At 41.2% G+C, this 18586-nt stretch overlaps 1 protein-coding gene and 1 long non-coding RNA gene across 3 annotated transcripts in view; both read left to right on the top strand.

The window, feature by feature from the left end:
• Nucleotides 1-18586, top strand: part of ALK (ALK receptor tyrosine kinase) — a 728813-nt gene that overhangs the window by 437427 nt on the left and 272800 nt on the right. The window lies entirely within an intron of this gene.
• Nucleotides 8783-9426, top strand: LOC105374389 (uncharacterized). The gene is made up of 2 exons (NR_136317.1): nucleotides 8783-8806; nucleotides 9047-9426. It is a non-coding gene; the product is annotated as an uncharacterized LOC105374389 (long non-coding RNA).

Genomic DNA, 18586 nt, shown 5'->3' with positions numbered 1-18586 from the left:
GTGAATTGTAACTCCCATAATCCCGTGGGAGGCATCCAGTGGGCAGTAACTGAATCATGGGTGTGGTTTTTTTCATGCTGTTCTCATGATAGTGAATAAGTATCACAAGATCTGATGGTTTTGTAAAGTGCAGTTCCCCCTGCACATGCTCTCTTTCCTGCCACCATGTAAGACATGCCTTTGCTCCTCCTTCGCCTTCCGCCGTGATTGTGAGGCCTCCCCAGCCATGTGGAACTGTGAATCCATTAAAACCTGTTTTTCTTTATAAATTACCCAGTCTCGGGTATGTCTTTATTAGCAGTTTGAGAACGGACTAATATAATATGAAAACATTAATAAGATGGAGAAACACCAAAGTCAGGATATTGACTCTATCTATGAAGAAAGCAATAAGCATAAGATCTAAGAGGAATACACAGGGAGGGTTCAACTTAAAATATATGTCATTATGTTAAACAAAACCTAAATGAAAAATAGTAAAAAGTAATGACTTGATAAAGCCAGGTTGGGTATGTGAGTACTAATTAAATTATTCTCTATGCATTTCTGTATGTTAAAAATATTTCACAATTAAAAGTAAAACGTTATTTAGAGATGAACTGTCTTGGGGCTTTTCAAACTTGGATGTGCACATGAATCATTTGAGAATCCTGTTAAAATGTGGATTCTCTAAGCTGAAGCTAGAGATTCTGCATTTCTAAAAAGCTCCCAGGAGATACCGCCTACTGGTGCACAGACTACACTTTGAATAGCAGGAGTGGTTCTCAAACTTAGACATACACTGGAATTAGCTGGGAGGGCTTTAAAAAGGCCCTGATGCCTGTGTCCTATCCCCAGAGATTCTGGTTCAGTTGACCTGAGGCAGTGCCTAGACATTGGTGTTTTTTGAAAGCTCCTCAAGCAATACCAGTATACAGACAGGGTTTAACACCATTGAGATAATATATTTTCTCATTTCGTACCTAAGAGAACTAAGTCTCTGGGAGAGGGAGATGCTTACCCAGGTCATACAGCTTGCTGGGGACCAGAACCTAATCTTGTAACTCCTATTCCTGCTCTCTTTTCAAGTGCAAATATTTACCACAGTCTTTTCCAAGTTCCTGCCCTTTGGGTTTCCTATTCTAGAACACATGTTGCTCATTCAGTCTTCTCAGCCCAATAACTGCGTAGGAATAGCCTAGTAGAAGAAAAGCAGGCAGATCCAAGGCAGGGCTGTAAATCAAAGCATGCTGCCATTGGCACTCTCCATTATCTCCTTGCCTCCTATCGCCCCTTCATGCACACACTCTCTTGGGGAGCTTCCTACTGTGGATTTTAGTAATCCATGTAGTCGTCATGGAAGACTAAAGAACTTTCTTATCCAAAGACCAGGTCTCAGAGTTTCTCAGTTTTTGTTGTTGTTGTTGTTGTTGTTGTTATTGTTGTTTTTGCTCTCCTACGGCACTCTCCTGCTCTGTCATCAGCTAAAATACAAGACACTTTTAGTTCATTCCATTGTACCAACAATACTCACTTCTGTGCTGAGGACCCATAGGATACATGCCGTAAATAACTGAGGAAACCCTACCTACCTGACCTCACCTCACACCATTAGCTTGGTGCCTATTTAAAGCATCAGGTCACTTTTCCCAGGTGGTGCCAGCTGTCACACCTCTCTGCTAACCTCAACCTCTGTTCTTGCATACTAAGCCACCTAATTTGATACCTCCTCCCTCAGATGTAGGCATAGGCATCTTTCCCCCTCAGTTCTCCTTCACCTTGAAGAAGTGGGATTTATGCCCTCACTCCAAGTCCACTTTCATACACAGAATCCTAGAACTAGACACCAGAAATTCTTGCAGGCCAACCCTCTATTTTATGAAATTATGGCTCTAAACAGTAAAATAACTCCCCTGCTCATGGCACACTGTCCACTGGTGTATCCCATCCTGACCAGCTTGATCCTACCCCTAGCAATATCTCTGCAAGCCCAGAGAAAGCCTTGATGGCTCCAATGCTACTAGGGTTTTCATTCCCGGTACTGGTCTCAAACCAGGCCTTTCTTGAGGGAAGAGGCAGAATTTATTCAGAGGGATATACTACAGGTTTGCACTTTTCCCATTTGAGATCTGTGGTCACAAGGCAAGAAGGGACAGCCACAACTGGTTTGATTAGGTTTCCTCGTAGGTCCACTGCACTGATCATATTCTTTCTTTTAAGGAAGGCAGGACATCAGCCAATTAATCACCTTCTTTCTTTGTGGGAAGAATTGAGGCTTAAGAGCCTTTGAAAATCAAACAGAAAGTCATTCTGTTGCTGAGTTTTAAATATCACCTTGACCCTCTTTCCTGAATGTAAAGTAACCACTGTATCAATAGTCCTTCCTGTCACTTATCACTTTTCTGAGCAGGAGAGCTGTGAACCATGCAAAGAGAAAAATGACAGCTGGAGAGAGAAGTCCCAGAAAGCCATATTTAAGGTATACAAAGAGGAAAACTTTAAACTCAAAAACCATTAAAACTGAAAAGACTTTAGTGATGATGTGTTCAACACCAGTTTTTAGATGAAAAACTTGAGGCCTAGGGAAGAAGCTTTGCCAAAGTCGGAGATTCTAGAAACCTCAATGAAGACAGAGATGTAGAGTCTGACAGAAGCACATTAATCAGTTAAGGTAGGCCTTATCTATGCAATGTGTGCTGATAACATAATATGTATAAATTGAGTTTTGGTAAAATCAAATTAAATGTGAAGTGTATTATGGGAGCTTGTAGTTTCCAGGAATCTTATGATAAAGACTGAAAAATAATTGTCTTCCCTTCCACATTGCTCTTCTATTTTAAATCTAAATTTGTTTACAGGGGAGTTGCTTAAAGCCAAATATATTGGCAATTTAATGAATTCTTACCGTCAAGTTTGTTTTCTTACTAAGAGGAAAATGATGAAATGGTAAAATAGTTAAAGCACTGAACTACAAACCAGGATTCCAAGTGCTAGTCCAGATCTGCCATTACCAGCTGCATGGCTTGGGTGAATGACTGAAACTCCCTTGCTGTTCGAGAATAATCGCTCAGGTCTCGCGTTCACTAAATCTGAAGCTGGTCCTCAAACACAGGAGCATGGGCCCCCATTACAGGAATACACCCACGTGATATATGAGATGGTTCAAAGGATCATGCCGGATCTCTTTTCCTTGTTAGGGACTTTGCTCCAGTGGTCCCTGGACCAGCAACCTCGGCATTGCCTGGGAGCTCATTGGAAATGCAGAATCTTTGGCCTTGCCCAGACCTGGTGAATCAGAATCTGCAAGGTCTCTAAGAGATTCCTGTGCACATTTAAGCATTGAGAAGTGCTGGCTTAAATGATGGCTTTTTTTTTTTTTTTTTTTTTTTTAAGATGTCTGTTCCCTGAGCTTTCTGAGTTCCCACTTTTGCATCTGCCTGCGTGTTGCTGGAGAGTGCCTGTAGCCCCCGGCCTGAGCCAGCCAGCCCCACTTCTGCTTTCCTCCCTGCGTCTGACTGGCCTCTGCTCTTGACTGCTGTGTGAAGTGAGTGGGCAGATTGACTGACAACAGCAAGAAGTGTCAACTCATCCCTGGGGCAACGGGGCAATAAAAAGCAGAGACAAGAAATATAACAGACAATCACCTAGGACCATACACAGTTTAGAGATAAACAGTCCCATTTAACTCAGCAAACTCTGAAAAGATTCACACCTCTCCAAATGCCAGAAGAAATTATAATTTTCATTGTTTTTAAAATAATATTTTACTTTCAGTTATGAAATATTTTAGAGACATAGAAAATAATATCACAAATATTACAAACAGCTCCATCCCCACCACTTAGAATTAGCAGATATTAATATTTCACCCTATTTGCTTTGTTTTTCTTTCCTTTTTTTAAATAAATAAATCTAAAGCCTCGCCTCATCCTCCTTCAGCCTCACGTCACTCTGCTGAGGTTGCTGGTGTTATTCCACATGAGACTGTACTTTTCCTGTATACTATGTGTCCATACCATAGTCAATGCATATTCCTGTTTTTATCACACTGTATATCTCTTTTGCAACTTGTGTTTTTCACTCCACATTATGTTTTGGGGATTTTTCTGTGCTGAAATATACAAAGTCACATGTATTTTTAAAGCTGCTGTTTAGTATTTAGCTGAAAGAACAAAATGCCCAGGAACGGTTAGTTGAAGGGAGTGAGAAGGGCTGTTTAGGAAGAACAAACAACTTTGAGTTATGTGTCTGGTATATTTTAGGTCAAAGATTTCCTGTACCAGATTTCAAGACTCTCATGTCCTTTTCCCAGTCTGAACCTATCCTTTCCACCCCTGAGAAGAATGTTATCTTCCAGATCTTCCTAATTTTGCCAAGGTCACTGCCAGAGCAGAGGGCACCCACTCATCTGGGGGCGGTGGTAGGAGAGCAAAGGACCAGCCATCCCCAGACCCACAGCCAAGCTGCCCCATGTCCCCCTGTGTGACCCTGTGGTCTTCAATCAAATTGCCTGTGACTAGAGAAGGCTCAACTCCCTGAACCCAGCAATACATGAAGAAAATGCAAACACTTTATTGCTACAATTTATCCTAAAGGAGATTTGCAAAGCCACATGCTTGAGATTTATGGTGTGACATCCAGAGATTTCATGCACTGTATTTCTCATTTATGGGCTTCAATTTAGTTAAGAGAAAAGAAGCTTTCTAGAGCAAAACACCCTAAAGCTTTGGTAAGATAGGATATTTAATTAATTCCAAAATCACCAAGCGGGTGAAGAATGAGTTTCAGGCCTGTGTGTTCAAGCGTCCTCTGGGCCTGCTTGTTAGCTACCTCCTAGGTCTTGGCAACAGATCTGTGTATGAAGAAAGACTGAGGCTGTGGTTGAGGTCTCAGAACCTACTACTATCTCCTGCTGCCATCCCAGAAAGCTCAGGATAGGGTCTTTCCCCAGGGCAGTGTAGATCTGCCTGCTTCAGGGTGAGCCATCATTTCGGGGACATCACAGGAGATGGGAGATGTTCAGGGAACCCTGAGTGCTCCCAGGCTCTAGAGCTCTCTCTAACACACTCCCTTTCTCTCCAAGATGATCAGGCTGCCCAGTCTCACAATAGCGAAGACATCCTTTCTTTCATACCAGTCTAGGACCCTTTTATGAGGACACAGGATGTCATGGCAAGGCTTCATTAGACGGCATTCACTTAGGTCTAGGGTCCTATTCTTTGCAGGGCCAGAAACTAGATTTATTTCTGTGTTCCTGAAGCTAGTCAGTCTCTGGGGACATGTCTTAACAGTAACTGAATTCACAAGCCAGCTATGCTCCCACCCTCTGCACCTGCCCCTACCATTCCCACAAGCTGGGACACACTTGTTCTCCCTGACCTTTCCAAATCCTGCCTGCCCTTCAAAACCCAGCTTAAACACTGAGGTCCTCTTTGAAGCCTCTTCTCAGGCCACCCAGCCTTTGAGTGACCGCTTTCTTTGAATATGTCCATGCTCATCGTTGATACAGATCGGCATCAATCCTCAATCACCTGGCAGTGTAAACTGACTTGCGTATGCGTATGACTTATTCCTCGTCAGTCTGTAGGAGCCTTGAGAGCACAGCATGAGCTCATTACTTCAAAGCTCTTCTCAAGTTAAGTACAGGGTAAGGGAGTCATGGAAAGAAGGAGGAGTCGTGGAAAGAAGGCCACCAGGGAGGCAAGTCCTCCGCCTGTCCAAGGCTCTGTTTCCATATATGCCCAGTGATGGGAGCACTCACCCTACCTTTCCTGGAAGGGGCTTGTGTGGCTCATGGCAGACAATAGATGTGAAGGCTGTTCTGGGGCTGCAAAGCCCTTTATACGAAAGCAGGATCATTACAGTCCTGTGTATGGTAAAACATGGTTTGCTGATTGACTCTAACTGGAACATGGAGTGAGAGTTGTCCTCCCCCTAGAGATGAGAGGAGGGCAACATGGGCCATATTCATATGTATGTTTCCATTCACATGGGTGTTTGTATTCCTGTTCATATGTGTGATTATATCAATCCTCATATTTCTATCTGTTGGGTCTGGAGCCACAGGCAGCAAACCTGGGGAGCTTTGAGAAGCTGAGAGTGAGACAGTCTCTTCATTTTTTATGGATGGAGGAGCATACATCAAGAAGGACAGTGCTTTGCACAGCTCATCAATACTGAACTCAGACTCAGGAAAATAGTCTTTTTCTTTTTTGCTTAAAATCAACGTGTTATCTGCTGGCAGAAGTGCCTTCCTTGCTTCGCCTATAGGCTCCTACACAGCACCTCCAGCTAGAACCCAAGATTTCGGATTCTAAATCACATTCACATTCAGCTCTGATTTCCTGATTGCCACCTGGTGCTGGCCAGGGAAGCAATTTCCCCTAAGTCTTTTAGCCATATCTGAAGTCCCCACATTTCTTGTTGCCCCTGCCCACACAGAGCCTCCAGTTCCCTCGCATCCCTCTCCATCCCTCTGCCTGCTGTCACTGTACCTCTGAAACCAGCAGCCGGTTAGGATCTATCAGCTTGGGAACCACTGTGTCCCAGGACAAGAAGATCTGGGACCACTGAGAAGCCATCTGTTTAGTCCATGCCCTTTAAAATCTGGGACCAACTCTGGGTTATAAAGAATCATATAGCACCTCTGATAAAACATTCTGAACCTGAGGGTGGGGACTTCCTGACTTGCTTAGCTGGGAAGGAAAGAAAATCAACATCACTTGAATACATATGTGTGCCAAGAACTCCACTAAGCAATTTCATGGTTTCAATCTCAGTAAATCCTCACCACAACTAGAGAGCCAAGTGTTGCCATTTATTTTGTAATGTGGAATCTCAGAAAGCTTAAGTAAATGTGTCCCAGACCACACAGCTGGTATATAGCAAAGCCCCTTTCTCTTTAGCATGATGCTGCCTCTGGGTAGTGGGATGAGGGGGTACTGGCCATGTTAGTGATGATGATGTCCTTTCCAGGCTCTAGGACCCACTCAGACCTTCCACCCCAGGAAGTATCTCTTGGCTCCTATTCACGTGCCCAAATCTTACCCAGCCTGCACTGCTCAGCTCAACTCTCCCTCGTGGTTCACTTCTTCCTTTGCACACCACAGCCTTTCTAGCCTGGGTGTCCCTAGTCTACATCTGCACCTAGATCCTGCTGCTCCACCCCTTCGCATCAACTCTGTGTGGTCTATCAGGACATATGTGAATGAGGGTGAGGCGAGGTGCATGGTGATCTCCTTGAATCTGCTCCAGTGTCAACCAACGATAAAAGGGCAAGGTGATCAATACCCAGAGAGTCATTAGTAACAAATTCCTAGCTATACATCTCACAACTAATTTCTGCAGTGTGACATCACAGCAAGAAATGCTCCAGGATGGAATCGAACTCTCCACAAAGCCCAGGGCTCTTTTACACACCTAATCTGTCTCCCTGGTCTCTTCTCCCTGTCTTCCCTGGGCAGCCTCACACGCTCTGAGTCTCAGCCCATGCAGCACACTTCCCTGCATCCTCCTGTGCCTTGTCGGGGAAGCACAGCCCTCCTTCTCCACCGGGAAACTCCCCCGGGTCTCAGGGCTACTCACTCCCTCTTCTGTGCTTCTACCACCGACACCCTGTCTCTTGCAGGCACGGGGCCTGTGGGTACACGGAGTTTTTTTCCATATACCTAAACACATACCATGATTGTCTCTGGAGAGTGGGATTCTGTGTGTTTTTTATTTCCTTCTTGATATTTTGATTCATTTTCTATATTTTTCTATAATGTATCTTTCCTACAATTATCTTTACAAGTGGAAAAGAATGTTGGTGTTTAAAATGATTGTGGTAATTTTATGTCCCTACTGTACTGTAGGATCATCCAGGCCAGAAACTAGGCCTTGGTTTGATCTTCAGAGCTTAGTGCAGTGCCTAGAACCTAGAATGCGCTCATTGTATGTCAGATGCATGAAGGACTAGATGCATGCCTGCAGGCATGGGGAGGAGAGGGCAGCATTTGGGTTGGCAGCTAAAGGCTGGGTCTGAGCCGCAGCTTGTGTCTCCTCATCTGTAAAGTGAGCAACAAACCCTGGTGGTCCCAGCATCCTAAGTTGTTCTAGAGGGAGTCTCCTGACCACTCCCGCCCATAGGCAGCGCTGGAGGAGCAGGCTGCTCCCTGGCCTGAGTCTCTGCCCCACTGTCCCTGCCCCATCTGTCCGAAGCAGCCCCACACGGGAGGACCAAGAGACTTTCACTTCATTGCAGTTGTGAGACTCGATGTCACCGTTCTCATTTGCCGCCTGTCTGGGATTTTATAGACATGCTCTCTCTCTCTGTTTATTGTGATGGCAGTTTGCACAATTCCTCTTCAGGCACTCAGAGTCTTCCAAGCATGAAGCTCCCAGAGATGAATGAGCCTTTATCGGGGCCTCAGCGCTGTTCACTCAGTGGGAGCCAGCTGTGCTCTAGGCTGTCTTAAATTTCCAGCCACATTTTCCAAACCTTTGACTGAGAGGCCAGGACCAAAGGGAGATTGGCCCCAGGGGGTCGCCGATCTCTACATAGAGCTAGCAGGGGCTTAGCCACTCACTTCAGGGGAACAATGAGGATGGCGACAGCTGCCTCCCTCTAGTGTGGTCTGGGAGGGCCTGGAGATGCAGCCTCGTCCGGCGGGCCCGAGACTGTTCAGGAATGTTCTCCAGTGTGTGGACCTGGAGATTGAAGGATTCCCTTAGTGGAGGGAGGGATTCTGGGAAAAGATGGCGGGAGAGGCGGATTCTGCCACCTACGCCGTGTGACCTTGGGCAGGAGAGTTCACCTCTTGGGGCCTATTTCTTCCACAGTCAGATGGTAACTGTGTTACCTGAGGGGATGTGGAGTTGGGAGGAGACATTAAGTAAAGGGCAGTCTTCCTCTTTTGCTGCCCCCTTGAGCTCCCTGAGGCCTGAGGTCTTCCAGCGATGGTGGCTCTGGTTCAGCAAGGAAGGGGTTTCTCCAGGACAGGCTACAGGGCCTCTGACCTCGCCCACTGCCTTGCTTGGCCTTTCTTCTCCATTTTCCGCCCTCTCGAGTTGTCTGATGCTTCTGCAGGAAGTCAGCGGAAGGGCTCAGAGACTCATAGGGAAGATGAGTGAGTGGAGGAGATAAGAAGAAGGAATGCAGGAGCAGGGGGTACACAGGAGCCTGGCGGTTTCTTCTGCAGAAACTTCAAGGGGTTCCCTAACTCCTCTCTTCAAAGTGAACACCAGTGCCTGGGCCCTGACCAGCAGCAGGTGTGGCAGCCAGGCCCCGTCCAGCAAAGGCCTCGCAGTAGATAATTTGTTCAGGCTTTTGTGCTTCTATCTTGGCTTTTCAACTTGATCTGATGAACCACCCCTTGCTCCACCTCTCCCCCACTTATATCGCACTAGAAAATCAGCCTGAACTAAACCTCCCCAAATCCAACAGAATAAAAAATTAATTCACGAATACGTTTCTGTACTGCAGTTCTGTCTTGTGAAACACAGCATATTCCTGAATCCACAATTTTTTCCTAGAGGCAAAAAATTCAGATATTATTTCTGTAGAGTTAGTTACACAAGGTAACTGGAAATCTACATGTGATTTTAAATAGAGCACACAACTTTGGCGTTTGGAAAAATATCAAACCTCAGAATTAGGAAGTCATCCTTGTCACCATCAGCACAACCAGCCGTCGTTGCTATTTTTCCTTTTTTTAAGCTAGCTTTATGTTATAGAGCATACATACACTAAAACCACACGTCAGTGGATACATTTTTACAAAAGGAAATCATTCATGGAATTACCACTCGGACCAAGATGTGAAACACTTACCGGCAGGTAAGAAGCCATCTTATGCCCCCTCCCAGTCATTACAGTCCCTTAAAGATCATTACTATTTGACTTCTTTCCCTATAGATTAGATTTTCCTGTTTTTAAATTTTGTGTAACTTTATTTGATAGTATTAACTATTTTGTGTCTGTGAGATATTCCTGTTTAGTTGTATGTAGCAGTAATTCAATTTTGTTGTTGTTGCAGACTATTTCATTGTATAAACATACCACAATATATCCAGTGAATTAGGTTATCCTTATACTTGTCTTTTGGAGCATATATACATTTCTTTTGGATGTTTACTTAGGAGGGTAAAAATGTGTGTCTAGTCAGCTTTAGAAGATATTCTGGAACAGTTTGCCAAAGTAATTGTACCAACTTAACTCCTCCCAGCAATGTATTGAGAATGTGCTCCATAGTCTCAACAACTTGGTAGGGTCCATTTTTTGTTCGTTTGTTTGTTTTTAGCCATTCTGGTGGATAGGAAGTATTGTTTTTGTTTTTGTTTTTGTTTTGACAAAGTCTCACTCTGTCCCCCAGGCTGGAGTGCAATGGTGCAATTTTGGATCACTGCAACTTCTGCCTCCCAGATTCAAGCGATTCTCCTGCCTCAGCCTCCTGAGTAGCTGAGATTACAGGCTAATTTTTGTATTTTTTTTTTCAGTAGAGATGGGGCTTTGCCATGTTGGCCAGGCTGGTCTCAAACTCCTGCATTTCCCTGATGAGTAATGATTTTGAACACCTTTCATATGCTTATTGAATATTTCTTTTGTGAAGGTCCTGTGCAAGTCTTTTTACCCTTTTTTGTTGTATTGTTTGTATTTTTCTTAATGATTTTAGGGCTTCTTTATATATTACAGACAACAGTCCTTAAGATGTATACATTGTGAATATTGCAGATATTTTCTCCAAATCTGTGGCTTGCCTTTCCATTTACTGCTTTTTATATCCTATTCAAGAAATCTTTACTTACCTTGATATCATAAATATATTCTTCTATGTCATCTTCTAGAAACTTTATTGTTTTTCCTTTCACATTTAGGTCTATAATTCATTTAGCATTAAGTAGAGGTATAGGCTCATTTATGTTGAAAAGATTCTCCTTTCTCCACTGCATTGCAATGGCATCTTTGCTGTGAATCAGGTGGTTTTAAGAATAGGTTTGTTCCTGGACTTCATTCAGAGAAGACAAACTTCTCTGTTTGTCTATATTTGCACAAGTACCACACTGTTTTAAATACAGGAGCTTTATAATATGTCTTGATATCTGGTACTGTAAGTGCTCCAACTTTGTTCTTCAAGATCATCTTTGCCATGCTTTGCCTTTTGCATTTCTACGTGTATTTTAGAATCATCTCATAAATTGTCACACAGTACAAATACACACAATTCTGCTGAGATTTTGATTGGGATTAAGTTTAATCTACAGATTTGAGGAGACCTGACATTCTAACTATAGTGAGTCTTCCAGTCCTTAACACATGATAAATTTTCATTTATCAGATCTTCTTTAATTTCTCCAGGTAATTGTTTTTAGTTTTCTTTGTATTCTTGCCAATATTTCTTTAAACTTACTCTTTTGTGACTTTTAAGTGTTTTTATAAAAGTTATTTTTAAAGATTCATTTTTTCTTTTGTGACTAGTATTTAAAAATGTAATTTTTGTTGTATACAGTATTGACTGTGTATTCAAAAACCATGTTAAATTCACCTATTGATTCTAGTTGATCATTTTATTTTTTTTCCAAATGTGCCTTTTATTTCTTTTTCTTGCCTTATTGTATTGGCTAAGAGAACTAGTAAAATGTATGTTAGAAGTGGTAACAGGGAGCCTCATTGTCTTCTTCCTTAATTCAAAGGGAAAGCTTTCAATATTTCATCATTAAGTATGAAGTTAGCTGTAGGATATTCAGAGATACCATTTGTCAGATTGAGGAAGTTTCCTTCCGTTCCAGTTCCTACAATGGCATAAAAAATTTTCCCAAAACTCAGTGGCAAAGAACAACCATTTACTACACTCACAGATTTTGTGGATTGGGAATTTAGACAAGGTACAGTAAGAAAGGCTTGCCCCTGCTTCACAATGACTGGGGAGCTGGAAGACTTGAAGTTGAGGACATGGAATCATTTGAAAGCTTGTTTACTCACACTTCTGGTGGTTGATGCCAACAGTAGACTGGTGGCATCACTACTTGGGCCTCTCATATAGTCTCTCCATAGAGGCTAATTCAGGCTTTCTCATACCATGGTGAGTGGGTTCCCAGGGTGACCGTCCTGCAAGACAGCCAGGTGCCACCTGTGATCTTGCCTTGAAAGTCATCAACATCGGCTGGGTGCAGTGGCTCACGCCTGTAATCCCAGCACTTTGGGAGGCCACGGTGGGTGGATCACCTGAGGTCAGGAGTTTGAGGCCAGCCTGGCCAACATGGTAAAACCCCATCTCTACTAAAAACACAAAAAATTACCTGGATGTGGTGGGGACCACCTGTAATCCCAGCTACTCAGGAAGCTAAGGCAGGAGAATCACTTAAACCCAGGAGGTGGAGGTTGCAGTTAGCCAAGATTGTGCCATTCCACTTCAGTCTGGGCAACAAGAGTGAATGAAACTCTGTCTCAAAAAAAAAAAAAAGAAAAGAAAGTTATTTAGCATCATTGCCACTGCATTCTACTCTGCAAGTTCTGTGAGAGCATGTGGGAACGGAAATATTGCTGTGACCATATTTGGAAAATGCAGTCTGCCACAACTGCTATTCCTAGTGTGCTGAGGTTTTTCATCACGAATAGGTAATGAATGATATCAAATGCTTTTTCTGTATTTATCAAGACAACTGTATACTGCTTATTCTTTTTTCTATTAATATAGTGGGTTATATGGATTGAGTTTTGAGAATTAAACCAACCTTATATACTGGAATAAGCTCAACTTTTTGTGATGTATTACCTATTTGATATATAATTCATACCGATCTGTTAATACTTTGTCTAGAACTTTTGCATCTATGCTAATAAGAGAGATTGACCTGTAATTTTTCCTTCTTGTAGCCTTCTTAGATTTTGTTATCAAAGTTATGCTAACTTTATAAAACAAGACAGAAAATCTTTGTTTTTCTATCTTCTGCTAAGAGTTTGTGTGAAATTGGTTTTACTGCATCTTTAAATATTTGGAAGAACTCATTGATAAAGCCAACTTGGCCTGGAATATTCTCTGTAGAAAAGTATTTAATTATATATCCTATTAACATAATTAAAAGTATTTAATTTTGCATCCTGTTAACTGTGTATCCTACTTAATTGTGTATTCCATTAAAATATAGTTATATATTATTTTACTATGCTGTTCATGGTTACCCTAGTGACCATTAGAGTATATCTTAAATTAGTATGCTTGCCACTCCTGAACAAGGCAAGAACCTGATTACTTAAACTCCACTAGCCACCATCCTTTCTTTTATCCTTTTGTTGTCATGTATTTTACAGCTACACATATTTTACATATCTGAAGACACTATTATTATATTAATTAGCCAAAATTCATTTAAATATTTCCACGTATTTTCCCTTGCCATTGCTCTTTATTCCTTCTTCTATGACTGTTGCCTCCATTTGGGAAAAATTTCCTCTTGCTTCAAGAGCTTGCGTTAATATTTCTTTTAGTAAGGGTCTGCTGGCAAAAAAAAAAAAAAATTCAGCTGTTTTGTCTGAAATGTCTTATTTCACTTTGATTTTTGAAGAATATTCTCACTGGGTAAATAATTCTTGGCTGGCAGTCATTTTCTGCTAGCACTTTAAAGACATCACTCTGTTCTCTTTCGGCCTTCCTTGCCTCTGTTGAAGTCAGTTGTCAGTTTTATCAATGCTTGTTTGGAGGTAATGTGTCTTTTCCTCTCTGGCTATTTTAAAGATTTCCTTTCTGTCTTTGATTTTCAGCAGCTTTATTATGATGTGACTAGGCATAGTTTTCTTTACATTTATTCTATGTGGGACTCACAGAGAAGTTTGAAGTTTTTGTTAATTTTGAAAAATTGTCAGCCAGTATTTCTTCACATATTGCCTCTGTCCTTTCCCTCTTTCCTCTTGTCTGGGACTTCAAATTATATGTATTTTAGACCTTTTCATTGTGACTCACGTGTCTCTTGAATTCTTTTCTGTATATTCTGTCTTTTTTTTCTTCTTCCTATTATTCAATCAGGGCATTTTCTGTGAGTCTCTCTTCCAGTATCCTAATTTTCTGTTCTCTTGTGTCTAATCTACTGTTAAACTCATCTATTGAATTATTAATTCGTTATTGTATTTTTCACTTCTAGAATTTCCATTTGATTCTTATAAATTCCCGTTTTCTAATGAAATTCTTTATTGCTCATCTGTCTTCTTGAACATATTATAATTATTCTAAAGTCTATATTTGATAACTCCAATATCAGACTTCAAGGTCTGTTTTTATTTTTTTCCATTGCTTTTTATATTGGCTTTGGGTCATTTGGCTCTGTTTCCTGTCCTTTCTGGTAATATTTTATTGAATTCCAGAAGCTCTAAAGGTTGTTGTTCTTCAGAGAAGTTTCATTTTCTTTTGGCAGGCAGAAACCTTGATCCAATCAGGATTTGATGATTTAGGGCTGTGAAGTCTCAATGAATGACTAAATGACTGCATAGAATTGGCAGAAATCCACAACTTATTAAAAACTCGTTGGGAGGCTGGGGGATGATGAGTGGGAATTTTCAAGAAAGAAGAAGTCAAACCCTTTGTGGCTGGGAACTTCAATGTCAAGGAGGGGGATGGTGCCATTAAGAGAGCTACAGAAAGGGCCAAAGTTAGGAAAGAGTAAGGAGAGATTTCATGACCACAGAGGTGCAGCATGCCTGTGAAAAGATGCTGGGACTGAATGGGATTTTTATCTTTCTGAGAGAGAACACCCTGAAAGATGGACCTAAAAATAAATGCAAGTGGGCCCTTATCAAAACTAGTATCTGAAGACCACCTGCCACTTTCCTGTTAGATATTACTGTTGATGTCACTGGTTCTCAGCAATTGTCAAATTAGGGGCTCTGGGTATTGAGAAGGCAATTTGGCACAAGATAGTGGCTGGTGATCACTGATTTGGCTAATTCCTTACATTGACCCAACATGTCCACAGATGTGGAATGGTTCTGGAAACTCATCTTTTCATTATCTCATTGACCAGGTGCCTACTCCTCCACTCAGACTGCAAATAAGAGCAGCTTCCTTTAGGAAAGCTTCATAGTATGATCTTTACCCTCTCAGACCTCATTAGGGTTGACTATTTCCAAGACATATCAGCCTTCAGCCTGTGCCATTAGCCCATTTATGCCTAGTGTTCCATTATTGGAACACCAAGCATGTGAGTGTTATTTATATCCTACTGCTCAAGGTCATTGCCAAAGTCTGATTGCAAAAGTTCAAAAAATTGCAACCTCAGGCATAAATGGGTTATTGGTAAGGCAGTTACTGTAGTTCTTTGGTGTGCTAGTTCTTTTTTTTTTTTTTTTTTTTTTTTTTTGAGGCAGGGTCTCACTCTACTGCCCAGGCTAGAGTGCAGTGGTGTGATCATAGCTTACTGCAGCCTCAACCTCCCAGGCTCAAGCCAGCCTCCCACCTCAGCCTCCTGAGTGGCTGGGACCACAGGCACATGCTGCCATACCCAGCTACATTTTTTTTCAAATTTTTTGTAGAGAAAGGGTCTCACTATTTTGGCCAGTCTGGTCCTGAACCCCTGGGCTCAAACAATACACCATTCTTGGCCTCCCAGAGTGTTGGATTACAGGCATGAGCCACTGAGCTGAGCTGGCTATTCATTCTGAACCATGAACTTTTCATTTAGAAGGATTGAAAAGAGAAATGTATGTTCATGAACTTATTATGGGCTCATATCGCTAGCAAGCCAATATTCTTCAAATCTGTATCTCCATGGCTCCTCAACTTCACCCTAAAATATATTTATTAATCTCCCAAGTGCTCAGCATTGGTCTAGGTCAGCAGTTCTCATAATTTTTATCTCAGGACTCCTTTACACTATTAAAAATTATTGGCCAGGTGCATTGGCTCACGCCTGTAATCCCAGCACTTTGGGAGGCCGAGGTGGGTGGATCACTGTGTCAGGAGTTCAAGACCAGCCTGACCAACATGGTGAAACCCCATCTCTACTGAAAATACAAAAATTAGCTGGGTGTGGTGGCACGTGCCTGTAGTCCCAGCTACTTGGAAGGCTGAAGCAAGAGAATCACTTGAACCCGGTAGGCGCAGGTTGCAGTGAGCTGAGATCGTGCCACTACTCCAGCCTGGGCAACAGAGCAAGACTCTATCTCAAAAAAAAAAAAAATTATTGAGGACCCCAAAGAATTTTGTTCATGTGAGTTATATATATCGATTCTTATCATGTTGGATATTAAACAGAGAAATTTTAAAAATATTTACCTATTCATTTACAAATAATAATAAATATGTTACATAACAATATTGGTGTAAATAACCTATTTTAATAAACAGTAACCATATTTACCAAAACTAAAATAAATTTAGAGAGAAGAGTTGTTGTACATTTTTGCAAATCTCTCTAATGTCTAACTTGATAGAAGTCAGGTAGCCTCTGGAAAACTCTGTAATATACTCATGAGAGAGTGTGTGTAGAAAAGAAAAATGATATTTTAGTATTATTATGAGAAGAGCTTTAATCTTGAGGGTCCCTGAAAAGATCTCAGGGCCCCCGAGCCACACTTTGAGAGGAACTGGTCTAGTGGATAGGCTTTTATACCAGAAAGAATGAGCAGATTCCAAGCTCTGGTCTTAGAGCAGGCTCATTTCTTAAAATCATCCTTGTACCTTTTAAAACCAGAATTAATAGAGAATGTACTTGGACTCCATCAGATGGCAGAAAATGATAAACTAAGTGGAAAAGGAAGACTAATTGGCTTATGTAACTGAAAAATCTAAAATAGTGAAACTAGGCTTCAGGCTCTGAGGGCTTGTTCACTGCCATATTCCCAAGGCCAGCAACAGTGCCAAAAACATAGCAAATATTCAATATGTATCTTTTAATTAATTAAACAATAAATTAGTAACTGTTTTCAGGACTCTTTATCCTCAACTTGGCTTGCCATTTTTTTTTTTTTTTCTGTTATCAATAAGACTCTCCATAAGATTGCTCATTGGAAGCCCTGGTCAAACAAGGCTCTTGGTCCTCATGATCCCAAAACAAAAGTCATCCCTTCCTTCACACAGCATGTCAGTATCAGCCCTTCTTGGATCATGTGTCCAAGCTGTATCAACTATTGTATGTGAGGTGAATGGGTATTGCCAGCTTAGAAGGGGAGGAGGGGTGAAATTATTAACAGCCTTACCAGAAACAACTGGAGATGCGGCAGTTCCCAAAAAAGAAGAAATACTGATCACACATCACACAAAATTACAGATGTCCACTAAAGATATCATAATAACCCATCAACAAATGGCTTATCCAATCAAGTGTAAACACAAATTATCAGATGTAAAATATGTGCTCTAATCACTTCAATGATCCAGAGAACTGTCTTGCAGACAAGTTACCAACTGAGTGATTGATTTATGATTATTTTATTAGTTTTAGTCAGCCTCAAAACAAACTCTTCAGCTTTTTTCTACCTCATTTTCATCAAATGTAAAACTTGTGAGAGCACTGTTATCATATGACACACCATTGAGAAGCCATCAGCAATTGCCTGTTACTTACAAGAAACAGTCTCAAACCCTCAAGGCCAAGCCCTTTAATTCATCACAATGGTTCCATGGTTCCTAGCCTCTTAAAATTGAGGAGCCCTTTTTAATGACTTCCATGAATGAGAACCTAATTGTTAGTCATAAATATTGATTGATTAAAAAACATAATGACATTTTAGAATAGATTTCCATGTGATAGCACCCATATGTGTTTGAAAATTATTGTGCATATATTTGTGAGGCATATTTGAAATGTGTTCTCCAGATAAAGCTTGGTGAGTGTGAGTGTGTGAGAGTGTGTGTGTGTCTATGTGTGTGAGTTAGTGTGTGTGTGTATGTGGTTCCCATGACTCTGGACATAGAAACAATAGATGACGGGAACTAAGATGTCAACACAGAGGCTTGGGAGATTCTTTTCTGAGGTCTGTACTAGTGTTTTCACGGCTTTTTAAAGAAGAAGGAAGAAATCAGGCCACATGATGTCCAGAAGCCCTGGAACCATGAAGAGCTTCAGTTTACTGAAGTATTTGTTTGTGATTCCATTTTAGTTTACCTATGTTTTATTAACTATATCTTTCTTTTTTAATATAATTTTGGTGGGTGTTCTAGGGTTTTTCATGTTTATCTTAAACTTCTGACAAGCTGCCTTCAAATAATATGACTATGTATAGTATAAGATCTTTACATTCTTGTATTTCCAATCTCTACCCCCAGCCTTTGTGCTATTATTGTAATACATTTTAATTCTACATATGTTATAAACTCATAATATATTGCCATTATTTTTTCATTAAGCATTCAAATCTTTTAAAGGGATTAAAAGTGAGACAAAATGTTTTTTAATTTGCCTAAATATTTGCCATTTCTGACGTTCTTCATTTCTTTAGGTAGATCCAGTTTTTCATCTGATATCATTTGCCTTCTGCCTGAAGAACTACTTTTAACTTTTTTTGTTTTTGTTTTTTTTTGAAATGAAGCCTTGTTCTGTTGCCCAGGTTGGAGGGTAGTGGCACAATCTCAGCTCACTGCAACCTCCACCTCCCAGGTTCAAGTGATTTTCATGCCTCAGCTTCCTGAGCAGCTGGGAT

This window comes from Homo sapiens, chromosome 2, assembly GCF_000001405.40.
Source record: "Homo sapiens chromosome 2, GRCh38.p14 Primary Assembly".
NCBI lineage: Eukaryota > Metazoa > Chordata > Mammalia > Primates > Hominidae > Homo > Homo sapiens.
Note: the sequence above shows the minus strand (reverse complement) of the source record. Positions and strands in the feature narration are given on the sequence as shown.